The sequence below is a fragment of the Homo sapiens genome, chromosome 15, assembly GCF_000001405.40.
Source record: "Homo sapiens chromosome 15, GRCh38.p14 Primary Assembly".
NCBI classification, from domain to species: Eukaryota; Metazoa; Chordata; class Mammalia; order Primates; family Hominidae; genus Homo; species Homo sapiens.
The window spans coordinates 89,496,856-89,524,618 of NC_000015.10; the positions used below are offsets into that span (position 1 = coordinate 89,496,856).

A 27,763-nucleotide genomic window follows, 5' to 3' on the forward strand; every position below is an offset into this window, starting at 1 on the left:
AGAAACACGGGGATCATTGGCCTCCCAGTGAGATCAGAAGGAATTCCCAGACCTAAGTCATCATCATCAACATCATCATCATCTGCCATCATCATCTGCATCATCATCTGTCCTTTCTTTTTCTGATTATGAAATTCATACAGGGCACATGAGAAACAAGGAATGTTTGGGACACTGTCACACAACAGAGCGGCCTGGGGAGACATCTGTGATGTGCTACCCCAGACTTGACCCTGGAACAGAAAAAGGATGTTAATTGGAAAACTGGTAAAATCCAAATAAAGCCTGAAAATTAGTTAATAGTGACGTTCCCATGTTGTTTTCTTAGTTGGGACAAATGTCATGGTTATGTAAAATGTTAACAGTAGGATAAACTGAGTAAGGGCTATATGGGGACTGTCTTTGCCACTTTTCTGTAAATCTAAAATTATTCCAAAATACAAGGGTTTTAAGAAAAAAAACACGTATAAAGGATTGTAAGAACAATTTAAGAGTTTTTCACAAGTTCATTGGTCCATAGTCAGGAACTGTCTTCTGGTTAAGATCTGTGATCTTGACATGAGTTAACCATAATATTTAGGTCTGGGAATTCCTTCTGATCTCACTGGGAGGCCAATGATCCCCATGTTTCTCTGTTCAGCAGTATAACAGTCTGTATATTGTCTGCTTAGTCTGTATATTGTCAAAATAAATTTGATTTTCTAATTTTTCTTTAAAAATACAGAGATAATTGTAGAGATTTGGAAAATACAGAAAAACACAAAGAAGAAAGTAAAAATCACTCATAATCCCACCACCCAGAGGCAATACTAATATTTTGGTGTATGTACTCTAGTCTTTTCCTAGCTCATTGAAGAGGGGCTGGAGGGGAGCAGGGGGAGTGTTTCAAACGATCATACTAATTTATAGCGTTTTTAACTCCTTTCATATTTTGTAAACACCTTCCCATATTATACTTCTACAACTTTTTTTCTTTTTCTTTTTCTTTTTTATTTATTTATTTTTTTGAGATAGGGTCTTGCTCTGATGCCCAGGCTGGAGGGCAGTGGCTTGATCATGGTTCACTGCTGCCTTGACCTCCTGGGCTCAAGTGATCCTCCCACTTCAGCCTCCCAATTAGCTGAAACCACAGGCATGTGCCACCAGGCCCACCTAATTTTTTTTTTTTTTTTTTTTTTTTTTTTGAGACAGGTCTCGCTCTGTTGCCCAGGCTGGAGTGCAGTGGGGTGATCTCGGCTCACTGCAAGCTCCGCCTCCCGGGTTCACACCATTCTCTGGCCTCAGCCTCCTGAGTAGCTGGGACTATAGGCGTGCGCCACCGCGCCCGGCTAAGTTTTTTTTTTTTGTAGAGATGGGGTCTCCCTATCTTGCCCAGGGTGGTCTTGAACTTATGGGCTCAAGTGATCCTCCCACCTCAGCCTCTCAAAATGCTGGGATTACAGGCATGAGCCACCACACCCAGCCTGCCACAACATAACTTTTATAGCAGGATATACTGTGCTTTATCTAGACAATCCCTAGTGTTAGGTGACGAGCGATGAGGTCATTTTTTATTTGTTTAGTATTACAAATCATGCTGTCATGAACATCCAGATATGTAAGTCTTTGCACAACTTTCTGTGAATTCCTGGAGGCAGAGCTGTTTCAATACATATCTCTAGATGTTCCCCTAGAAAGATTTTACGAGACAAAGCATGCACCCTGTGAGCCAGGGGTCAGTGACTTTTCCCATGCACTCTTGCCAATGCTGGCTTTAAAAAATCTTGCCAGTTGAAATCCCAGATTTGTAAAAGCCACTAATGCCATGTATAACATCTGAGGCTAAGCACCTAATCAGGGTGCTTGGAACTTGAGTGTGGCCACACTGTGCCAGCTTGGGGTACCAGGGTATCCCCACTCCCTTGGCAAAGAAGCAGCCAGACACTGCATGAGCAATACCAGCAATAGGGACCATTTATTAAGTTCCTGCGGTTGCCGGATCCTTTTGATATATATTTAAATTCTCAACTAAACACTTGTGAAGTGGACATTGTAGGTACATGCTACAGTTGAAAAACCTGAGTTCTCAGATTGGCTAAGGAACTTGCTGGAGATTCAAACCCTGGGCTGTCTGATTTCAAAGGCTGTAGTCTTTCTACTGTGCCATTCTGCTTGTCCCCTCTGGAAGGAGCGAGAAGGAGGGTTTGACTTCGTGCATGTGCATTCACTGCTGGGGAGAAAAACTTCAAGTACACGGCAATGGGAGTAAGTGGAGGGAGGGAGACAAGGGCTGGGGTGGGGGAGGCTGCTGCAAGTAGATTCATGAGCATCTAGGTTCCCCACAGGAGCAGTGGCGTTATGGGATAGAGGGCAGTGGGTGGCGTGGTCCCTGAAGCCTGGGCCGGGAGGGGGCAGGTGGAAGACCTGCTCACCAGGCTGGCCTGCTTAAAGGATAGGGAAGCCGGGGTGTCTTGCTCATTGTGAGAACTGCCCTCCCATCCAGACCTCCTCCAGAGTCCCCTAGCACACCTGTGGTGCTGGAACCCGGGACCCCCTTGGGGGACTCCTTGATGGGGCAGGGTACAGGGTCCAGGAGAGAGACGCTGACTCACAAGCCCTGCAGAGGCTCAGTGGGACAGACCTGGAGCCACAGCCAAGCACGGTCACTACCCACAGCCAGCACAAGAAGGCCGTTTGCCCTTGACCTTCATATTTGGTAGACTCAAGGTACAAACGATGGGCTTCAGACTACAAAGGGGATACAAGGTTCAAGGGAGACACTGTTATCAGATGGTTTTTTTCTTGGGTTACATTTCTGGGCCACTCAACTAATATAGGTCATCATGAATTAACATTCAAAAACAAGTCCTGGCCGGGCACAGTGGCTCACACCTGTAATCCCAGCACTTTGGGAGGCTGAGGCGGGTGGATCATTTGAGGCCAGGAGTTTGAGACCAGCCTGGCCAACATGGTGAAACCCCGTCTCTACTAAAAATACAAAAATTAGCTGGCTGTGATGGCAGGCGCCTGTAATCCAGCTACTCGGGAGGCTGAGACAGAGGAATCTCTTGAACCCGGGAGGTGGAGGTTGCAGTGAACTCCAGCCTGGGCGACAGAGCAAGACTTCATCTCGAAAAAAGAAAAAATTATTTGTTTATAGTATATCAACATACCATAGTATTTAACCCTTTATGGTATTTCTCCCTTTGTTTTATTCCAGGAAGCTGCTAGGTCTCTCTTGACCTCAGTGAGCCCCAGCAATCACCAACCAAGGAAGGGGCCCAGGGAGCCTCTTCCAGTCCAGAAGTCTTCTCTTCATCCCTTTCTCTGCGGCAAGACCAACTGTCAGAGCCTCCACAGCCTGAGGGCCTGGGTGGCGTGACCCCTGCAGAATAGGGGGAGCAGAGGGAAAGCTAGGCATTGACGTCCCTGGTTTTACTTCTGCTTCTTGAGTAGTTGTGTGACCCTGGGCAAATTGTCAACCTCTCTGAGTCTCTACTCTCTCATCTGTAAAATCGAGACAGTTATCTCCCCTCGGGTCTTGGTGAGACTTATTCTGAGTAGCTGGGACTACAGGTCTGTGCCACCATGCCCATCTAATGTTTTCTGTATTTTTGTAGGGGTGGAGTTTTGCTATATTGCCCAGGCTGATCTTGAATTTCCAGGCTTAAGTGATCCTCCCACTTCGGCCTCCCCGAGTGCTGGGATTACGGGCGTGAGCCACTGCACCCAGCTGGTGAGACTTATTCTGAGATACAGCATGGCGAAGAGCCCAGCACAGTGCCTGGCATGTGACATGCCCTCAGTTCCTGTTCATTTTTTTCCTAGTGCCTGGAACAATTGAAAAGCATGTGCCACTTGAGATTCTGCAGAGAAAGATAGGTAATCAAGGTTGAAGAACTGAGGCAGGTAAGTGTAGGATGGTGGAAGGAGTCCTGGCCTGGTGTGGGTCCAGTTTCTGTCTCCCTCTGCTGGTGATCTCAGGCAAATTCTTAGCCTCTCTGGGCTTGCGTCCTCACCTGTGAAATGAAGATTGTGAATGGGTCATTTCCAAAGCTGCTTCTAGTTGCAAGGTGCCCCCCAGCCCAGAGGAGCTAGCCCCTCTGTTGCTTTTCCCCACTCACATGCAGCCTTCTCTCTGGTTGGACAAGCCGAGTGCATTGCTTCACAGCCTCTTGCAGCCCTGCCAGGACCTAAGTCACCCAGGAAAGGCCTCACCCTTGATCCTGGAGTGACCTCAACCACATTCACTGTGTCTCATCCTGTGTGGGGTTTGCAGGCTGCCCTCTTCGGCTTCCTCTGCCTCTCCTCCCAGCATGCCCTCTTCTTCCTTTCCACATTCTTCTCTCTTTCCCACACCCAGCATCCTCCCAGCCACATCGATCATGGCACCTGTCCCCTGTGTGAGGTCCTACCACCCGGAGACAGTGAAGCCCTCTCCTAGTGCCCCCTGCATAATATTTGAGAAGATGAGACCACAGACAGCAGTAGCAACTGCTAGCACCACCTCTGCAGGCTCTACAGGCCCAGTTACTGGAGGTCCAAGTTGAAAGTTGGGCTAGGACAGAGAGCTTTTGGGATGAGGGGGGTGGGGAGCACACCACCCTCTGAAGTCATTCATTCCCTAGAGGGTCCATCAACTCTGTTAAGACAGGGGTAACATCTTATTTATAAATCTGTCCCCTGCTCACAGTATAGTGTGGGGGCACAGAAGAGGCACTTGGGGAGTGTTCTTGAAGGATTGAGGAAGGAATGAATAATATTCTTTGAGCACCTAGTATGTGCCAGGCACTGTTTCAGGTGCTGAGACATGGCAGTGAACAAATGAAGCAACAATCCTAGTCCTGGTGGAGCTGGCATTCTACGAATGGTGGGGAAGGTTGGCAAACAACCTGGTAGTATGTACCTTACTTATCTACTGTGTTTAACAATAGATAGGTAAAGCAGACAGCATGTGGGAGGGTGATACATGCTGTGTGGAGCAGAGGGGAGGAAAGCGGGAGAGAGGAGGCCAGGAGTACAATGTACACTGAGCGGCCAAGGAAGGCCCCATGGAGGGAGGCGGGGAAATCAGTTCATCTGCCGGTGCCCTAGTCCCAGCCCACAGCATTTTGATGTGACTGCCCTTTTTCTTTTTCTTTTCTTTTCTCTTCTCTTCTCTTTTTTCTTTGCTTTGCTTTGCTTTTCTGAGACTCAGTCTCACTCTGTTGCCCAGGCTGGAATGCAATGGCATGATCTCGGCTCACTGCAACCTCCACCTCCCGGGTTCAAGCAATTCTTCCACCTCAGCCTCCCGACTAACTAGGACTACAGGCACCCACCACCATGCCCAGCTAATTTTTGTATTTGTGTAGAGACGGGGTTTCACCATGTTGGCCAGGCTGGTCTTGAACTCCTGACCTCAGGTGATCCGCCAGCCTCGGCCTCCCAAAGTGCTGGGATTATAGGCGTGAGCCACCACGCCCAGCTGTGACTGCCCTTTTCTGAACACCCCAGGCAGCTGTCCCCTTCCTCAACTGCCCTTGGTATTAGTAAAGGCCAAGCTCTCAGTTTCTCCCCTGGGTGGCCGGCAGTTTTATTTCTGGTGCTCCTGGAAGAAAAAATGGCCACTATTCCAGAAGCCTAGGAAAAATGTCCCCTCCCAGAACATTCTGTCTCCAGCTCACATAAGGCATGGCCAGCAGCCTGCCCGCCCACCTCAGGCAAGGCCCAGGTGCTCTGCGGAGTGTCTGTCCTTGTGGGTAAAGGGGGCTGGGGCTAGAGGGGATTGATGAGACAGCGGGAGGGTGGAGGGCTCTCTCCCCACTCTCTCCTATCCCAACCTCCACGTCAAGCATTCATACACTGTTTCTTCCTAGCGCTTCTCGTATCTGTCTATGGTGTCTTCCTACATTAGAACATCAGCACCCAAGGGCAAGGACACCTAGAAGAGATCCTAGCTTGCGGTTGTTGCCCATTAATTATTTTTCCAATGGAATGAATGGATGAATGGATTCTTTCAATTTATTCAGTTATTTAAAACATGTACGGAGCACCCACTGCACACAGCTCCATATCAGGCCCAAATAACTATATAAGCATGCCCCCCAGATTTGCACCATAGAAAAGGAGATACAAGTTTGCCCCAGTGGTTAAAGCAGAATGAGCACTTTCCTGTATACCTGAGGAGAGCTTGATGGGCCCTGGGGTGATCAGGGTGGACTTCATGGAAGAGGTGGACTTTGATCTAGGATTTGCAGGGCAGATAATAGGTAGACCTTCACCCTCTGCCCTTTGGCTTTTCTTGTCTCATGTATGCCCTACCACATGATTCCAGGCTACCTCCCTCTCCCCACCCCAGCTTGGTACTTCAGATGACAACCCAGAGGTGGAATTCTTGCCTTGTCCTCTGAGATGGGGGTTTAAGAAACCTGCTGCTCAAGTCTAACAGGCCAGGCAGGGGTTTTCCTAAGGAACCGGCCTCTTCCTCCTAAAATGTGTGTGCCTTGACAAGCAGGGATGACTGACGGCTGGGACGCGATGGTTCTTTCCCCAGCCAGGGAGAGGCAGGGTGTGGTAGCCACGTTGGCAGGCAGGGAGATGGATTTCGAGGCAAAGGTGGTTCAGGCTGTCTTTCTTCCAGGTGAGGTGGAGTCTCCCCTGCTCTGGTGTGGCTGTGTTGAGGGCGTGGTGCTGGGACTGTCCCTGCTATCACCCTTCTCTCTACTCATCCCTCTTGATAGATGACTGTTTGCATCCTTGACATCTCTGGCCTTGGTCCCACACGCAGCCTGAGGCTGTGGCGAGACACTAGGCCAGGACTCAGAAGTTCTTGGGGCTGGTCCCAGTTTCACAAATTTTGTCAGATCACACCCCCTGTCTGGGCCTGATTTCCTTGATTTGCAAATGGGTGCCTCCGTGTCTGTGCTGCTCAGCTCTCATTTTGCTGTGATGCTCAAAGACCATGCAGCTTGGTGCTTAGCACAGTGACCCAGAGGCTCTAGGAGGCCCGGGCTCCAGTCCCAGCCCTGCCACTTCCTAGCTGGGGGACCTTGGGCAAGCTGCTTAACTTCTCTGGGCCTTGGTTTCCCCATCCATACAGAGGGTGACAGGAGTACCTGGGATGACCTTAATGCATAATGATGCTTTTAACCCCGAGACTGGTAGTATGTACTTGATGAAGTGGCAGCTTTTACTATTTGCCACTAGAAATGAATGGGGGCTGAGCACAATGGCTCAGGCCTGCAATCTCAGCACTTTGGGAGGCTGAGGCAGGAGGATTGCTTGAGCCCAGGAGTTCAAGACCAGCCTAGGCAATATGGTGAAACCTCATCTCAAAAAAAAAGAAAAAAAGAAAAATAAAAAGAAAAGAAGCAATAGGAAAGTCTTTTGTAAACTGAAAAATGTCACAAATATAATTGGTGCTGCTTCTATGACGGTGGGTAATGGCATTCCCCTCTGGTGCTCTCTGAAAAGTCTGCAAAGGCAGGGCCCAGGAGAGGGGGTCCCACGCCCTCCCTGGAGTTGGGAGCGGGGATTAGGGCTGGGGGAATGGGCTAGGGGCCCCGGGAAGCAGCTCTGGACATGCCTCCATCATCTCTAGTCCCTCAAAGCCACAGACAGGGCTGCCTCCCCATACTCATGGGAGATCTTCAGTGTAGGTGGCTTGTGGAGTGAGGGGAAAGGGTGTAGGTCTCTCTGCAAAACTCTCTTCCATGACAACTTATGGGATCAAAAATAAGAACAGCAATAGTGGGGAACTGGACATCATGTGCTGCTCCCTGATGGGCTGCTCCAAGAAGGACACAATCCCAAATGTGCTATTCCTGCCAAAAATGCATACCCTGAATTTAATCACGCAGAAGCAGCAGACAAACTCAAATTGAGGGATATTCTGCAAAACAACTGGTCTGGAGTCTTAAAAAGAAATGTAGGTGTGATGGATGTCAAAAACAAACAAACAAACAAAAAACAAGGAGGGCAAAGATTGTAGGCTAAAGAGACGTGACAAATCCATAAAATGCTTTGATTGATTCTTGATTGGCTCCTGGATCAAGACAAAATCTTAAAAAAAAACGCTATTGGAACAACTGAGGAAAAGGAACTAAGAATGGTATATTAACTAATGGGATTTATTAATGCAAAGTTTTTTAAGGGTTATCATTGTATTGTTGTTATATGGGAGGCTGCTCTTTTTCCTAGGAGATGCCTGGTTTCGAGGTAAAATGTCATATGTCTCCAACACACACAAACATATATACTGAGAGAAATGAAACAAAAGTGGTGAATCCAGGTGAAGGGTATATGCATGTTCATTGTGCTATTCTTGCAACTTCTCTGTTGGCTTGATAATACGTAAAACAAAAAGTTGGGAGAAAAGCCATTGTGGTGCTATCAACCGGAGTCTCTGATATCTACTAGAAAATATCAGCCTATCCAAGGCCGGGAGCAGAAGCCAAAGTCAGAGACCCAAGGCGAGTCCCACACACCCTCTACCTAATTACAGTTCAAACCCTGTGGGGCTTTCTGTGTGTTGTACAGCATAGGGTGAGCACATACCAGGCGCTCAGCACCTACCCCATCCCTGGCACTGTAAAGGCACTGAGATATCAAGATGTGACTTCTGTTCTTTCAGGGCAAACGGTTCAAGGGAGGGTCTTCACTCACTTCTTCATGCTACTGCAGAGTATGTTGTCCATACAGCAGTCCAAAGGCTCACAGATAAACCTCAGGATTCCCAGGGGAAGATGGAAACAGATTAGTGACAGCAGCAGCCTCCATGAACTGGGCGCTCCTAGGAGTCAAACACGAAGCTAAGCCTTGTCTTTGTCTGCCCATCACCATGTGTCCTTTTCATGACAGCTGACCATGCAGGAAGGGATTTTTTTTTTTTTACAAGGTAGAAACTCTGGCTCAGAGAGGTCGATCACTTGTCTAAAAGTCACCCAGCTAGAGGGTGGCAGATCTGAAGAAGAAAGCAGCATGATCTCAGCCGTGAAGAGGTTTAACAAGTTGGCTTAGTGGAGAAGGGCATGCCACGAGCAGCTTGAGGGAAGATGTGGAGGAAAGAAGGTGAGGGCAGGGTTCCTCAACTTCAGCACCAATGACATTTGGGGCCTGATCAATCTCTGTTTTGGGGACTGTCCTGTGCGTTAGCAGCACCCCTGGCCTCTACCCACTGGATGTGAGTGGTCAGGAGTATGACCATCCCCTCGTTGTGACAACAAAAAAGGTATTCACATATTACCAGATGTCTCCTGGGAGATAAAACTGCCCCAGTTGAGAACCACTGGGGTATGGCATCTACACTCTGCCTTAAGCTGGAGGTAATCTCTTGGCACAGCCTTGCTCCTGGCTGGAGGACTGTATCTCTGCCCCTGAGGGTGGGCAGGTGGACAGGGCCTGGTAAGCTCTGCATTATCTCTGTAGGACCTCCCGCAGGGCAGGGCCTCAGGTGCTGGCTGCAGCTCCTCCACCACCACTGTCTCACTTCCATTTCTGCCTTGGCTGCTGTGATGGTTAATTTTACAGGTCAACTTGACTGGGCATGGGGTGCCCAGACATTTGGTCAAACACTATTCTTTCTGGGTGCGTCTATGAGGGTGTTTGTGGATGAGATCATCATTTGAGTAAAGCAGATTGCCCTCAAATATGGGTGGGCCTCATCTAATCAGTTGAGGGTCTGAATGGAATGAAGAGGTTGACCCTCACTCCGAAGGAGAAGGGAACTCCTTCTGTCAACTGCCTTCCAGCTTGTGGTACCAGTGCTTTTCCTGCTTTCAGACTTGAACTAAAACATTGGCTCTTCCTTGGTCTCTAGCCTGCTGACATTCAGACTAGAACTCCACCATCAGCTCTCCTGGGTCTCCAGCTTGCTGACTGCAGATCTTGGGACTTGGCAGCCTCCATAATCATGTGAGCCAATTCCTTATAAAAACTCTCTCTCTGCTTCTCTCTCTCTCTCTACACACACACACACACACACACACACACACACAGTTGACCCTTTAACAACATAGGTTTGAGCTGCATGGATTCACTTATACACAAATTTTTCTCAATAAAAAGTGCACTGGCCAGGTGCAGTGGCTCACGCCTGTAATCCCAACACTTTGGGAAGCCAAGGCAGGTGGATCACGAGGTCAGGAGATTGAAACCAACCTGGCCAACATGGTGAAACCCTGTTTCTACTAAAAATACAAAAATAATTCGGGTGCGGTGGTGGGTGCCTGTAATCCCAGCTACTCAGGAGGCTGAGGTAGGAGAATTGCTTGAACCCAGGAGGTGGAGGTTGCAGTGAGCCAAGATCACGCCATTGCACTCCAGCCTGGTTGATAGAACGAGACTCTGTCTCAAAAAAACAAAACAAAACAACAACAACAAAAATGCACTGAGTGTGCCTGCTTCTCCTGCCTTCCCTTCCACCTCCCCCACATCTTTCTCCTCTGCCATTTCTGAGACAGCAAGACCAACCCCTCCTCTTCCTCCTTCTCCGTCTACTCAATATGAAGATGAGAATGAAGACCTTTATGATGATCCACTTCCACCTAATGAACACTAAATATATTTCCTCTTTCTTATGATTTTCTTAACATTTTCTTTTCTCTTGCTTACTTTATTGTAAGAATACAATATATCATACATATTACACATGAAATATGTGTTAATTGACTGTTCATGTTATTGAAGGCTTCTGATCTGCAGTAGCCTATTAGTAGTTAAGTTTTTGGGGATCAAAAGTTATATGTAAATTTTTGATTGCCTGGGAAGTTGGTGCCCCTAATCCCTGTGTTGTTCAAGGGTCAAATGTTTATGTATATAGATAAATGTTATATATAATATATATGATATGATATATGTCAATGGTATATATAATATATATGATATGATATATATCAATGTTATATATTATATATAATATGATATATAAATATTATATAGAATATGATATATAAATATTATATAGAATATGATATATAAATATTACATATATAATATATAAATGTTATGTATAATATATAATATTATATATAATATATAAATGTTATATATAATATATAATATTATATATAATATAATATATAAATGTTAATATAATATATAATATTATATATAATATAATATATAAATGTTATATATAATATATAATATTATATATAATATAATATATAAATGTTATATATAATATATAATATTATATATAATATAATATATAAATGTTATATATAATATATAATATTATATATAATATAATATATAAATGTTATATATAATATATAATATTATATATAATATAATATATAAATGTTATATATAATATATATTATATATAATATAATATATAAATGTTATATATAATATATATTATATATAATATAATATATAAATGTTATATATAATATATATTATATATAATATAATATATAAATGTTATATATATTATATATAATATAATATATAAATGTTATATATAATATATTATATATAATATAATATATAAATGTTATATATAATATATAATATAATATATAAATGTTATATATAATATATAATATAATATATAAATGTTATATATAATATATAATATGATATATAAATGTTATATATAATATATAATATATACATAATATGATATACAAATGTTATATATAATATATAATATTATATATACATAATATGATATATAAATGTTATATATTATACATAATATGATATATAAATGTTATATATTATATATAATATGATATATAAATATTATATATAATATGATATATAAATATTATATATAATATGATATATAAATATTATATATAATATGATATATAAATATTATATAATATGATATATAAATATTATATATAATATGATGTATAAATATTATATATAATATGATGTATGAATATTATATATAATATGATATATGAATATATATAATGATATATAAATATTATATATGATATATAAATGTTATATATATTATATAATATGAGATATATAAATGTTATATATATTATATATAATATGAGATATATAAATGTTATATATAATATATATAATATGCGATATATAAATGTTATATATATTATATATAATATGAGATATATATGTTATATATTACATATAATATGATATATATAAATGTTATGTATTATATATAATATGATATATAAATGTTATGTTATATATAATATGATATATAAATGTTATGTGTTATATATAATATGATATATAAATGTTATATGTTATATATAATATGATATATAAATGTTATATGTTATATATAATATGATATATAAATGTTATATGTTATATATAATATGATATATAAATGTTATATGTTATATATAATATGATATATAAATGTTATATGTTATATATGATATGATATATAAATGTTATGTTATATATAATATGATATATAAATGTTATATGTTATATATAATATGATATATAAATGTTATATGTTATATATAATATGATATATAAATGTTATATGTTATATATAATATGATATATATAAATGTTATGTTATATATAATATGATATATAAATGTTATATATGTTATATATAATATGATATATAAATGTTATATATGTTATATATAATATGATATATAAAAATGTTAATTTTTATGGGGACACCTGAAACACAGTATATATACTATATATATATATATATATACATATATATATTTATGCAAAATGAAATCTCACATGTCTAGTTCATGCACCATGGTCAGACTGGGATTGGGTTAAAGGCCTTATTTGGAAAGGTAAATGAGATGGGAAAAGAAGACTGGCTTGAGGTTTGACTGCAGAGGCGTACTATATGTATATAGTATGTTTTGAGTGTCTCCATAAAAACTTATGCTGAAATTTAGTTGCCACTGATGGAACTGGGAGGTGGGGCCTTAAAAGGTGATTGGGTCATGAGGGTAGAGCCCTCACGAATGGATTAATGCCATTAACACAGGATTGAGTTAGTTCTAGGAAGTGCATTAGTTCTCACAAGAGCAGCTCATCATAAAGGTGAGCTTAGCTTGCCCTTGCGGTCTCTTCTGCATGTACTTCTTTGCCCTCTCCCCTTCTGTCATGAAAGCCTTCACCAGATGGTCAAGCAGATGCTGGTGCCATGCCCTTGAACTTCCCACCACCATCCCCCACCTAGCCACTATATGGGTTGTTAGATATTTTGACCACCTCCTCTTCGCTCACTCCACTATTCAACTCACTGCATCATCAATGTACTTATTACAAACCTGTCACAAGCCAGGTCTTATGCTAGGTGCTCCTCTCAACAGGTTCTTGAGCTGGCAGGGGAGAGAGAGACATTCAAACACCAAGGATTAATATACCATTACAGGTTTAAAGACAGAGGCCTATAAGGGTCCCCTGGCAGTGCCATGGAGGTAGGGCATGGTCGGCTGTACCTGTAGAGGTGTCTAAAGGGAGGCTTGCAAGCTGCCCCTTGAAGGACGAGCAGAAAATTGTACATGAGGACAAGTAGGAAAGGAATTCCAGGAGGAGGGATCAGCATGTGCAAAGGCATGGAGGTTGTCCATAGAATGTAGAGAGAAAATATTAAAACCTATATTTATACTAATTTTTGGCCTCATACTTTTATATTTTCTGTTTTATAACCACTTAATAATGCACATAACATATTAACATAGTGATTCATATGTATGCTTTTTTTAATATGCATATTTTGGGATATACACTCCCCACAGTTTTTACTAATGCGTGATCAAAAATGTTGCCAAGACTGGTTTGGGACATGCTATGTTTGAAAGGCCTGGGAATGTCCAAGAGGTAACGTCTAGGCTTGGGGCTAGATATGGGTCTGGGGGTTGGAGAGACAGCCTTGAGCATTGGGGGTGAGGAAGGGAGAGGGGCTGAGATGGCCGTGAGTACAGAGAAACAGGGCAGGGTGGAGGACAGAGCAAGTGGTTTGAGGCTTGGCTGCACTTTGAATCACCTGGGGAGCTTTTAAACTATTCCCTCTTGGCTTTTCTGATTTAATTGGCCTGGGGAGAAGCACAGGCATCATCACCTTTTAAACTTTCTAAGTGATTCCAATTGCAACCGGAGTTGAGAACCACTGCCTTAGACTAGTGGTCTTCAACATTTCCTGTTGTACATCCCCTAAATAAATTTTGGAAAACTGTATACTCTGTTACACAATTTTAAGTTGACATCTAAATTTCATATCATAATTTTAACAGCTGCAAAAAACCATAATTTCCCTCATGTTGTGTATATTTTCTCCAGAACCTCAGAGTTGCATATTTCGTTTGTTTAATTTATGGAAAATGTCTGCCATATAAGCTAATTGGCAAAGCCAGAATTCATTGCCAACCCAGTCAGCCCAATTAGACTTATTAACCATCAAAAGAAAATCTGAAATCATTTTCAAACTCAAATAAATGTGTTAATACACAGCCTCAAGACAAAGCCTGCCCATAACATTTCAATTCTAAATTCTAATTCTAAGCAAAATAGACAATGCACAGAGTCTTGCCACCTAGAATTTGTCCCTCAAATGGAACAAGGTGCTGTTCCCCTCAATATCTACAGCAGATGCTCTCTGTGCTTTGAAGAGGTCTTTCTCTCAGGGGTGTGCATTCTCCAATCGCCGCTTTGTTTGGGTTCCCAGCGGTTTGCACATGTCTAGTTCAGGCACCATGGTCAGACTGGGCTTGGGTTAGAGGCCTTATTTGGAAAGGTGAATGAGATGGGAAAAGAAGACTGGCTTGAGGTTTGACTGCAGAGGCAAATAGATCCACATCAGAAAAGAAGACATAGAGAAGTTGAGGATCTGGAAATCTATACCTTTTAAAACTGTCTGTGATGGATCCACGCATATATGGTCACTTGACTTACAACAAAGGAGCTGATGCAATTCTATAGAGAGAAGGATGTTCTTTTCTATGCATATTCATAGGGGAAAAAAGGAACTCTGACCCCTTCTTCACACCATACACATTAATTCAAGATAAATCATAGACTTCAATGTGAAAAGTAAACCAATAAAGCTCCTAGAAGCAAACAGAGTAGGGTGGGGGGCGGTCTCCATGACCAAGCAAAGATCTTTTAAGCTGGACATAAAAGGCACTTACTATAAATTTTTAAAAATTTTAAGTTAGACTTCATTAAAACAAAACGCTCTTTTAATCAAAAGATTAAGAAGAGGACAAGAGATTTTCCCAATGCATATATCTGACAAAGGACTCATATCCTGAATATATAAAGGTTTCCTACAAATCAATAAGAAAAAGGCAACCAAACCAACAAACATTGGGGGCAAAAGACTTGAATAAGCATTTTACAAAAGAGGGTGCCTAAAGGGCCAGTAAGCACCTGAAAAGGCACTCAACACCATTAGTTGTCAGGGAAATGCAAAATAAAATCTCAATGAGATTCTATGATACTCTCATCAGAATGGCTTAAAATGGTAAAGACGGACAATGCCAAGAGTTGTTGAGGAGGTGGAGGAGATAAAGCTCTCATACATTACTGGTGGGAAAATAAACTGGTAAAAGCCAACATACCCCTATCCTAATTCCCAGCAATTCCACTCCCATACATCTATCCAGGACATGGCAGGTGCTGTAGTTTACCCAGTGTGCAGGACATAAGGAGGGATGTTGTTGCAGAGAATTTAGGACAGTAATAAAAATGGCTAAGTCAGTTTGCTTTTTATTATCTATTAATGCATAACAAATCACTTCAAAATGCAGTGGCTTTAAACAGCAATAATCTTTTTTAAAAAAAACGGTCATAATTTTTGTGGATTTGGAAGTGTCAGGGCTGGGCAGCTCTTGTTTGAGATCTCTCATGTAGTTGCAGTCATGTGTCATCTAAGGGCTTGATTGGGGCTGGGGGTCTACTTCTAGGGTAGGTCACTCACATGGCTGGAAAATGAATGCTAGCTATTGTCCAGGGGCTCAGTATCTTTCCCTGGGGTCCTGTTTATGGAGCTGCTCGAGTGTCCTCATGGTCTGGTGGCTGGCTTACCCTGGAACGAGCCATTCAGGAGAGCAAGGTGGAAACTACAAGCCTTCACCTTGGAAATCATCTGCTGAGACTTCTACTGTAATCCAGTGATCAAGGCCAGCCCTGATTCAACGTGAGAGGGGGCCGAGAAGTGTGTGAATGCCAGAAGCAAGGATCCCAAGGATACATCTTGGAGGCTGGCTACAAAAGATGGTGTCTTATTAAGCCCTGTATCCTTAGCCACTTGCAGAGCCACCATGGGGTGGCTCTGCAGCAATTGCTGGATGAGTACAGAGTAGAATAGAAGGATGGGGCTTGTCCACATGGCTCTCTCCTGTGAAGCAGTGCTGTGGCAGGATGTGCTCACAAGGAAGAGACGACCCACAGACTACTGCTGGCCACCCTTGCCTGGAGTGTGGTTTGTAGGGGGTGAGGGAGTTGGGGCACAGGCTGCCTTCTACCTCTAAGGACAGAGCAAAGGCCCTGAGAGGGGTCTCTGATTGTCCTGCCTCTGGACCCAACAGCCAGTTAAAGACCAGTGATATGCCCCATGGTGGCTCCCAGTCACCTCCTCTCTGGACTGAATTGATTTCGGCATGAGGGAAGACACCAGAACACGCCCTGGGCATGTGCAGGTGAAGCTGCATGCATGGGATGAATCAGAAGTTAAAGGTGCAGGGAGAGGGCAAGAGTCACATGGGTGTGCATGTCACAACTTATTTCTCCAACTCCCTACAGGAACTTAAAGTGGGTAGAGCATTGGACCTACAGAGCACTGAGGATGCACTCAAAGGGCTTTGACAGATGAACATAGAGTGGAGTAGGAGGATAGGGCTTGCCCATGTGGCCTCTCCATTGAAGGCTACCATCCACGATGACAGAATACAGGAAGGAGATAAAGGCCTGCGTAGACACGCTGACCCCAAAGTCCTTCGTGTCCCCCAACCTCAGGGTCCCTCTGTCCCTACTGGCTCTGGTGGGAGCTGCCCAGGCAGCAGTTCTGGATTCTGTTCCATCCTGGCAAGACTCCCGCCTCCGACCTTATTCCAACTCTTCCAAACCAACTTCCCCAATGGATGCTTCCTTCTGACTGTATCCAGCACTTCCCTCCAAACCATCTTTCCCTCTCCTTTGTTGAATAGAATGTATGTTTTCTTGTTTTGTTTTTGTTTCTGTTTTTTTGAGACGGAGTCTCACTCTATCGCCCAGGCTGGAGTGCAGTGGTACAATCTCGGCTCACTCCAACCTCTGCCTCCCGGGTTCAAGAGATTCTCCTGCCTCAGCCTCATGAGTGGATGAGTGGCTGGGATTACAGGCATGCGCCACCACACCCGGCTAATTTTTGTATTTTTAGTAGAGATGGGGTTTTGCCATGTTGGCCAGGCTGGTCTCGAACTCCTGGCCTCAAGTAATCTGCCCACCTCGGCCTCCCAAAGCGCTGGGATTACAGGCGTGAGCCACCACACCCCGTGAGTAGAATGTATTAAAACATTTTAAAATTACACAACAATGGATGTTTATTTGTTCTCCTTTGAATGATCTTAGTGAGCCTCCTCACCCTTGCTGCAATACTCCTATCCTGGACTCCAGCTCCCATGTCTAACTTCAAGGTTGACTCATCCCGAAACTGACCTCTCCAACGTCTATCTTCATAAGGGATACTTTTTAAAACTGTTACTAGTTATGGGATACTTTTTAAAACTGTTACTAGTTACTAGGAGAAAATTGGAGAGGGTAGTGGATTTATTCACAGAGACAATCAGTGTTCCATATGAGCTAATAATCTCTGAATTGGTCTTTAATTCAATTATAGCCCCCAAATGGCAAATGGATCTGAGTGCCCAGGGTGGTCCATGGTCGAAGCGAGAGTAATGAGAAAGATCCCAAATACTTTCTTGCTTAAAGCACACCTCACATCTTTGCTTAAAGCCCAAGGGCTTAACAATGAAGGAGGGACGGCTTTCTAGATGAACAGCTGTTCTCCTACAGAACAAGGAGACCAGTTTTTCTTCATTTTTTAAAACCTTGGGGATAAAGCAAAAGACACTGGATTGAATGCAGCAGGAAGGATCTGGATTCAAAATAAGGAAGAATTGCCAAGCTGATGGTGAGAACTAGAAAACCTGGGCATGACCTGGCAGGAGCAGTTGTGCAAGTCCCTCCAGGAAGTCCTGAGTGTGGAAACATACCCTGACTCAGCTGCATTTATGGGGTGAGCATCAGCCAGGCCCTGCTGCCATCATAGGGCCAGGTGGGCTGGGCTGCCAGGGAGGCAGTAGTGTGAGATGGCCAGGGAGCTCACCCCAGCCAACGAATGGCTTCAAGCCATTTCCTGGGCAGGACTGGTCCTGTGGAACAGGAGGGCCAGTCAGGAACCTGAAGCAGCAACCAACTTGCCCATGAGGATTGGGCTCTTATCCACTGTCTTTCCTGACCAACTCATTCTCATCCTTCAGGATTTAAGGCAGATGTCACTTCCTCCAGGAGGCCCTCCCTCAGGGCACGGAGCACACAGAGGTGGACTCTAGGACTCACCTGCTTCCCTCTCTAGTTGCAGGTCCCTTAAGGGGGACTGTGGGTGATTCGTCATTGAGTCCCTTGTGACCTCCAGGTGCTTGGGAGATGGAGAAAATGAAGGAAGGGAAGTGGAAGCAAGGGAAGGAAAGTTGAAGCAAGGAAAGAAAAGAGAAAGGGACGAGGAAGAGAGGGAAGACAGAGAAAGGAAAACTCTTGTGCCCAGAGATTGTACAGATTGTCTAAAGAGTCTCACCCCTGCTGGATGGACAGTGGCTTTATCAGCAGCAACACTATCTCAGCCTCCCGGGCAGCTAGGACTCTGGCTGCCTACACATTTTTTGCTCCATGCAGGCCCAGCTCAGGGAGAGGTACTCAGGCCCAGGCTGGTGGTGCTGAGTACCAGGACTTGGAGTTAAGGGGGCTTGCTGTGGGCACAGTTTGGCAAGTGAAGACGGACAGCTCTGGGGGCCACAAGAGAGCTGGGTAATAGAAGACTTTATGAAACCTGTATTAGATCTAGTTCTTGTTCATTTCTACTTGCTCACGTTATAATTCCAGAGCTGTGTTCTTAGAGGGAAATGTACTTTTATTGAAATGTTTTTCATAAGATGACAGTAGCCTTTCCTGATTATGAAGAAACCCTGTTGGCTGGGCATGGTGGCTCATGCATATCATCCCAGCACTTTAGGAGGCTGAGGAGGGCAGATCACCTGAGGTCAGGAGTTCAAGACCAACCTGGTCAACATGGTGAGACCTCGTCTCTACTAAATATACAAAAATTAGCTGGGCGTGGTGGCAGGCACCTGTAATCCCAGCTACTCAGGAGGCTGAGGCCGGAGAATCACTTGAACCCGGGAGGCAGAGGTTGCAGTAAGCCGAGATTGCAACACTGCACTCCAGCCTGGGTGACAGAGACAGACTCCATCTCAAAAAAAAATAAAATAAAAATAAAAAATAAAGAAAGGAACCCTGTTATAACAAATATGAAGAATACAAAAATGATTTGAAATCCTAGAGATAACCATTGTCAACATTTTGTTGTATATTGTTCTAGAATGTTTATATACTTATATTTAGGTATTCTTATATTTGCATATTAATATATTTAAATATATAAAATATTTTTTAAAAACAAAAGGTGGAATCACATTATACATAGTGTTTTATAAACTGATTTTTTCCCCACTCAGTAATGCCTTACGAACTTTTCTTACCAGTAAATAAAATTTCACATCATTATAGTGGCTGCAAATATTTTACTTAATGAAGGTAACATAATTTATTTAACCTCTTTGGCCATTTATGATTTCCCCCCAGTTTTTTACTCTTAAAAACTACTTTTGGGAAAAGTGAACCCCGGCAACATCATTAAAAACAAAAACAACTATACCACAAAAGTCAGGTGAAAAAATCAGATGTGATTTTGAACTACAGTTTTAGAAATAACTTCCTTGTAAATAATCGACTGTATTGTTAATTAAGTCAAATATTGTGGGAGAAACAGAACGGGGCATATCTGAGACTGAAATAATTGATAGTGAGGTATGGAAAAGGAAAGTTTTCATTTTGAAAGGAACACTGAGCTTTCGCTGTTTTGCAAAAATATACTTGTCTAAATATAGTTGTTTTGAACAATCTGTTGCCTGTAATCATTACCTCTACCAATCCCCTGTGGTATTGTGTCCTTTCAGGGTACGAGTGTTGGTCTGTCTATAAACACTAGAGATTTCTCCCTCTTCCAGGCATTTTGCTAGCCTCTGAGGATGGAGCAGTGAATAAAACCCACCCACACCTTATCCTCCTGGCAGTTAGCCTTAGTGGAGAGGCACAAGGGCTGCCTGTCTGGTGAATGAGATGATACTGTTAAGCACACCAGGATGCTGGAATCTCCTGCCTCTTACTGGCAGATAACCTGCCCCTCCCAGAACTTAGAGAATACTAAGTGCACAGGACATACCTGCCACCAGACCATTCAGGTACATGGTGTTTTTACTACCATTTCTGAGATCAGGCAAGTTTCAGATCTGTTTTCATGAAGCTAGAAGAGGGCTTAAAAGTCACCTTGTCCAACTGACCTGGCCTGTTGAGGCTTGAATCTTCTCTCTATAAACCTGAAAGAATTAAAAGGATCAGAATCCAGTTTAAAGTTTATTCAGGTGAAAAGGTGAAAATGATCATCCAGGAGACAAAGACTCCAGAGAAATGGGATCCGTGCTCCAAAGTTAAGAGTTAAGTTCTTGCTAATACAGGTAGAAAACAAAGAAATTTAATGGGATTACAGCATTTTCTATACAAGAGTGGTATAAGAGTTACAACAAATTAATTAGTGATAGTCTGTTTTCTTTTCTCTACAGTTTGTTTTCCTTTCTTTACAGCTGATTTTCATTTCCTCACTCAATTTAAAAGAGTATATTTAACATTCCATCTTAAGGCAATGTGATAGCCATAAAGTCTTTATGTGAGAAACGTAAGAGGGAAGTTAATCTATAATGAAGATTAACAATCAAAGGGAAGGGTCAACATAAAAAAATCAAATAAATTTCTATATATTAGTAATAAACAATTGGAATTTGAAAAAAAAATTGAAGCTTTATTTACAATAGTACCAGAAAACATGAAATACTTAGGTATAAATCTGACAAAATATGTGCAAGGTCTGTCTGCTGAAAACTATAAACTAATAAAAAAAATCAAAGAGGCCAGGTGCAGTGGCTCACACCTGTAATCCCAGCACTTTGGAAGTCCGAGGCGGGTGGATCACCTGAAGTCAGGAGTTCAAGACCAGCCTGGCCAACATGGTGAAACCCCGTCTTTACTAAAAATACAAAAAATTAGCCAGGACCGTGGTGGCTGGTACCTGTAATCCCAGCTACTTGGGAGGCTGAGGCAGGAGAATTGCTTGAACTGGGGAGGCAGAGGTTGCAGTGAACCGAGACTGCGCCACTGCACTCCAGCCTGGGCAACAGGAGCAAAACTCCATCTCAAAACAAAATAAAACAAAACAAAAACAAAACAAAACAAAACAAAAACAAAGAAAACCTTAAAAAAAAGAAGAGGCATACCATGTTCACGGATTGGAAAATTCAATATTGCTAAGATATAAATTCTTCCCACACTGATTTAGATTCAATGCAATTCTAATAAAAATTCCAGCAGAATTTTTTTTTTTTTTGTAAAAGTAGACAAGCTGCCAGGCGTGGTGGCTCACACCTGTAATCCCAGTACTTTGGGAGGTCGAGGCGGGTGGATCACAAGGTCAGGAGATCGAGACCATCCTGGCCAACATGGTGAAACCCTGTCTCTACTAAAAATGAATACAAAAATTAGCCGGGCATGGTGTCGTGTGCTTGTAATACCAGCTACTCGGGAGGCTGAGGCAGGAAAATCGCTTGAACCCGGCAGGCAGAGGTTGCAGTGAGCCGAGATCACGCCGTTGCACTCCAGCCTGGGTGACAGAGAGAGATTCTGTCTCAAAAAACAAACAACAACAACAAAAAAAAGTTGGCAAACTGATTTTAAAGTTTGTATGAAAAGGCAATGGGGCTGGGCATGGTGGCTCACACCTGCAATCCCAGTACTTTGGGAGGCCAAGGTGGGTGGATCACCTGAAGCCAGGAGTTCAAGCCCAGCCTGGCCAACATGGCAAAACCCCATCTCTACTAAAAATACAAAAATTTAGCCAGGTGTGGTGGCGGGCACCTGTAATCTCAGCTACTCAGGAGGCTGAAGCAAGAGAATTGCTTGAACCCAGGAGGTGGAGGCTGCAGTGAGCCAAGATTGCACCACTGCGCTTCAGCCTGGGCAACAAGAGCGAAACTCCATCTCAAAAAAAAAAAAAAAAAAAAAGGAACTAGAATAGTCAGAATAATTTCAATCAAGAACTACGAAGTTAGGGAATTTCTACTAATTTCATGACTTACTCCAAAGCTATAATAATCAAGATAGTTGGTACTGGTGAGAGAATAGTATACATCAAGCCCGTCCAACCTGCAGCCCATGGGCTGCATGCAGCCAGGATGGCTTTGAATGTGGCCCAACACGAATTCATAAACTTTCTTAAAACATTATGAGTTTTTTTTGCAATTTCAAGAAGCTCATCAGCTATCGTTAGTGTTAGTGTATTTTATGTGTGGCCCAAGACACCTCTTCTTCCCATGTGGCCCAGGGAAGCCAGAAGATTGGACACTCCTGGTATATATAAATAGAACAAAATAGAGTCCAGAAACAGACTCACACATATATGGTCAATTGAATTTTGACAAAGCTGCAAAGGCATTTCAGTGAGGAAATAATAAACTTTTATTTTCATTTTTTTGAGACAGGGTCTCTCTCTCTCCAATGTCCAGGCTGCAGTGCAGTGGTCTGATCACAGCTCACTGCAGCCTTAACCTCTGGGGCTCAAGTGATCCTCCCACCTCAGCCTTCCAAGTAGCTGGGACTACAGGTGTGCACCACCAGGCCCAGCTAAATTTTTTGGTATTTTTTGTAGAGATGGGATTTCACCATGTTACTTAGCCTGGTCTCAAACTCCTGGGCTCAAGCAATCTGCCTGCCTCAGCCTCCCAAAGTGCTGGGATTACAGGTATGGGCCACTGCGCCCAGCCAAGAATAAACTTTTCAACAAATGGCGCTAGAACAAATGGACATCCATATGAAAAAACTAAACAAAACAAACCTCAATCTATACCTCACATTACTTACAACATTTAACTTAATGTGGATCATAGGCCTAAATGTAAAATCGAAAACAATAGGACTTCTCAAAGAAAAGATTTCTTAGACACGACACCAAAGGCATAATCCATAAATTTTGGGGGATAAATTGTACTTCAACAAAATTAAGAAGTTCTGATTTTTTAAAGACTCTGCTAAGAGAATTAAAAGATAAATAATGGTCTGGAAGAAAATATTTTCAACTTACGTATCTGATAAGTGACTTCTATTTAAAATATGAAAGAACTCTCAAAACTCAATAATATAGCTCCTCAAAAAATTAAAAATAGAATTACCGTATAACCCAACAATTCTACTTTTGGGTCTATAGCCAAAATAATTAAAAGAAGGGTCTTGAAGAGATATTTGTACATCCATGTTTATAGCAGCGTTATTCACAATAGCCAAAAGGTGGAAGCAACCCAGATGTCCATCTATGAATGAGTGAATACATAAAATGTGGTGGGTGTGGTGGCTCACATCTGTAATTCCAGCACTTTGGGAGGCTGAGGTGGGAGGATTACTTGAGTCCAGGCGTTCAAGACCAGACTGGGCAACATAGCCAGACACTATTTCCATAATATATATATATATATGTAATAAAAATACAAAAAAACCCACAAAATGTGGTGTCTACATGTAATGGAATATTATTCAGTCTTAAAAAGGGAATTCTGACATATGATACAACATGAATGAACCTTGAAGACATAATACTCAGTGAAATAAGCCAGTCACAAAAGGGCAATACTGTATGATTCCACTTACATGAGGTATCTAGAGTAATCAAATTCATAGAAAGAAAGTTGAACGGTGGTTGCCAGGGGCGGGGGAAGGGGAGAATGGGAAGTTCCTGTTTGATGGGTACAGTGTGTCAGTTTCGCAGGACGAAAAATTTCTGGGCCCAGCACGGTGGCTCACGCCTGTAATCCCAGCACTTTGGGAGGCTGAGGTGGGGGGAATCACTCGAGGTCAGAAGTTCGTGACCAGCCTCCATGTAACAAATCCAACTAGCCAAGACTCTCATGCCAAAGAGGCACATGTAGGTGGTCTGGTTGACAGTCTCAAATGGAGTCCTCTGCCAACTGTCAGCATCTTCTGCCAGTGGTGAGTGAGTCATCTTGGACACCCAGCCCATTTGAGCCTTCAGATGATGACAGCACCATCTAGTATCTGACCATAACTACTTGAGAAATCCTCAGCAAGACCTGCCCAGAGAAGCCTCCCAAATTTCTGGCCCACAAAATCATGAGCAAAAAACCTATTGCTTCAAGCAGGTATGTTTGGGGATCATTTGTTATGCAGCAGTAGAAACTAGAACATTGAAACTCTTGCTTTCTTATCTTGCCCCACAGAAAAGTATATATTCTCAGCAATCAGAAAGACAATAGGGCAAAAGGCAGGAAAAGCTCTAAGTTTATTGAGTCCTACCACAGGACAGATACTTTACAATCCCACCTAGCATAACCCCCATGATTCTGTGAGTTGGGGACAATGTTTCTTTGTCAAAAAGAGAAAGGTAGAGTTCAGAGGGGACAAGGCTGTCAGATTGCAGAGGTGGTGCTCTTTCTGCTGGAGCTAAATGTCCCAAAGTAAGACCGCAGAAGCAAGAGTCAGGCAAGAAAGTTTGATTTCACAACATATTGTTGCTAGGATAAAGCCCTCAGGAGCTATGTGATCCTTTTAAAGGATAAAGTGTCCATTTTGCTTCCCTCCTTCCTCCCTGCAATTAGTCAAATGGCAGGTGGAGCATGTAGTCTGTGAGGCAGAGCTGAGGAGTGAGAACTTTCATAGAAACTTCCACTTACAACCAGGTATGGTGACTCATGCCTGTACTCCCAGCACTTTGGGAGGCCAAGGCAGGAAGATCACTTGAAGCCAGGAGTTTGAGATCAGCCTGGGCAATATAGTGAGATTCTGTCTCTACAAAATATTTTTTTAAATTAACTGAGCATGGTGGCCCTTGCCTGCAGTCCCACCTACTTGGGAAGCTGAGGCATGAGGATAGCTTGAGCCTAGGAGTTGGAGGCTGCAGTAAGATGTGATCACACCACTGCACTCTGCCCTGGGTGACAGAGAAAGAGCCTGTCTCTAAATAAATGAACAAGTAAATAATTTTTTTTAAAAAAGGAAATGTTCAGAGCGTTGCAGAGTGTTACAGAGAGGAAACTTCTAGAGTCTTCACACTTGCAAATCACTTCCTTTAGCTCTCAACTCATTGAAGACTTGAGCTGAGCCCTCCAGGTGGTCAATTTGAAGACATATGAGGCATAGAAGTGCCTTGGTGAGTCCCTATTATGGGCCGGACGCTGTGTGCACTATCCATGATCCTGCAAGAATGACATTGCTATCTCCCATGGCAGATGGAGAAACAGTCACAGGTGATTAAGTTATTTGTCCCAAATGTCACACAACTAGGAAGTACAGGCTAAAGAAGGGTCCCAGTGCAGCAGAGTATGGGTGAGTAGGCAGGCAGACAGGCAGTGTGGCCCCACTGGCACAGAGCCCCGAGGCAGAGCCTCAGAGACACCAGTTCAGGGTTCCTGCAAGCTGCGGACCAGGAGAGGAACTAGCAGAATGTGGGGTCCCCAGAGGACATAGAATCAAAGATACTAGAGAGAGAACAATGTCCTCATCAACATGGAGCTGATGGAGCAGAACCCCTAAGGATACTGTTTCACATTCATTTACTCCCCAGCTAGCAGGGATTGTCTGATCCAACCCCTCGATTCTGACATATAAGGCAACTGAAGCCAGAAGGAAAAAGGGACATGCCTGAGGTCCCCCAGCTTGCCAGAAGCAGGGCAAGACAAGAGTTCCTATTCCTGATTCAGGGTCCAGTGCTCTTTCAGAGGCACCTTCCTGAATTCTGAGATTAAACTCAGGCTTTAAGTAGGGTGACCCTTTCAATTTATGATCCAAACCAGAATAAGGGCATTATTAATAATTACAACAGGATGGCAGGTGTCAACAGGACTGCCCTGTGCAAATGGGACACACAGTCATTCTAGCATGGCATTCTAGAATGCCACCCACTTGCCCACCAGGAAAGCCTCTTCACAGCCTTATGGTTGTGGACCTGACAACTCACTGTCATCCTCCATGCCAGGTGAGGGGCTGATGGACCAAGCAGCCCTGAGGGTCTGGCTTTCCTAGGGGTCTTTAGGGAGCTCAGAACTGGCTGCTCCAACACTGGCCTCTGTCCCCACCTGGCACTGTGTATGCATAAACAGAGGCCCCATTTGTTCCCACGTATCAGGGGCAAGCTCCCTGCCAAGCCCAGTGGAACTCCAGTTTTAGGTGCTTGCCTCTGGGTGATACCCACTGAACCAAAGCTGTCCTCACTGTGAGACTGTGAATGTGGGGCTCTCCTATGGAGCCCCAGGACAGTGGAAGAAGGCCCCTGCTGGCTTGGTAGCCAGGTCACGGCAGAAACTATAAGGATGTGAGAAGCACACCAAGTGGCATAAACTAGCTGTGCTGTTTCTTCCCCCTCCTTCACTCCTCTGTCCCCAATAGTCACCAGCTTCTGAAACGTTACCTTACACACACATCTGCTGGGGATCTTGTTAAACTGTAGATTCTGATTTAGGAGACCTGCAGTGGAGCCTGAGATGCTGGATTTCTCACAAGTCCCAGGTGATGCCAATGCTGCTGGCCCAGGTGCCACTTGGAATAGTAACCCTCTCTCACAGCATCCTGCTCACTCCCTCCAGAGCAGTAATCATAACTTGTCATTGCTTTCTTATGTGGTTGTTACTGATTGCAGCAGATGTTGCAGTATTTCAAGCCTGATAATCACAGGCTTGAAAAGCACATGTGTGTTGGGCTTGTCCTCTTGGGGAACCCTGCTGCTGAGTGAAGAGCCCATGCTAGCCTGCTGGCGGCCCCTGGCTCAGCCAACAGCCAACATCAACAGCCAGACCTAGGAGTGAGACCATTTAGATCATCCAGCTCCAATTGCAGCCACATGAATTAGTCCAAAAGAATCACCCACCTGAGCCCAGCCCAAACTGCTGACCTGCACAACGGTGAGCACATAAAATGGTCATTGTTTAGGTCACTAAGTTTTGGAGTGGTTTGTTACATGGCAATAGATAACTGATACACTGGTTTAATATCTATGTTAGGGGTGGGACTAGATATGTTTTATTTGGTATGTTACACCCAGTGTTTTGAATTGATGAATAAATGAACTAACCTGGATCTGTCTGATTCTAAAACCCAAGAGTTTCTGCTCCACTGTTTCTGCTCCCTGTTCCCAGACAAGTTGCTCATCCTGGGTCTAGTGAGGTCAAAGTTAGGGTATGTAATCCAGCCTAGGTTAATTAGTGCTTTCCAGTCTACAGTGATCAGTTAAGGGATGAGTGTGTGACCTAATCTAATCCAATCAGATTGAAACTCGGGACTTTCACTGAGAATGGTGGGGAAAACACCTTCTCTTCTCCAGTCAATATAAAGAAGAAATATAGGAATAGTTTCCAAAATCTGACTAATCAGACCTAATCTGACAAGTCACTATAGGAAGGAAGGACTTACACAGGCCCACTGCTATGCTGGGCTTTAACATTTTAGTTGC

General features: G+C 43.2%; 1 long non-coding RNA gene across 4 annotated transcripts; it reads right to left on the minus strand.

The window, feature by feature from the left end:
• Nucleotides 1-8,074: 8,074 nt before the first annotated feature.
• Nucleotides 8,075-27,179, minus strand: LINC00928 (long intergenic non-protein coding RNA 928). 4 transcript variants are annotated; one of them, NR_027075.1, is made up of 4 exons: nt 26,726-27,179; nt 20,547-20,582; nt 13,218-13,268; nt 8,075-9,003 (listed from the first exon to the last, which is right to left on the minus strand). It is a non-coding gene; the product is annotated as a long intergenic non-protein coding RNA 928 (long non-coding RNA). The 4 variants fall into 4 exon arrangements; NR_027076.1 differs by lacking the exon at nt 20,547-20,582 and having other exon boundaries at nt 8,075-8,752; NR_027077.1 differs by lacking the exon at nt 20,547-20,582 and having other exon boundaries at nt 8,075-8,923.
• Between the last annotated feature and the right edge of the window lie 584 nt (nt 27,180-27,763).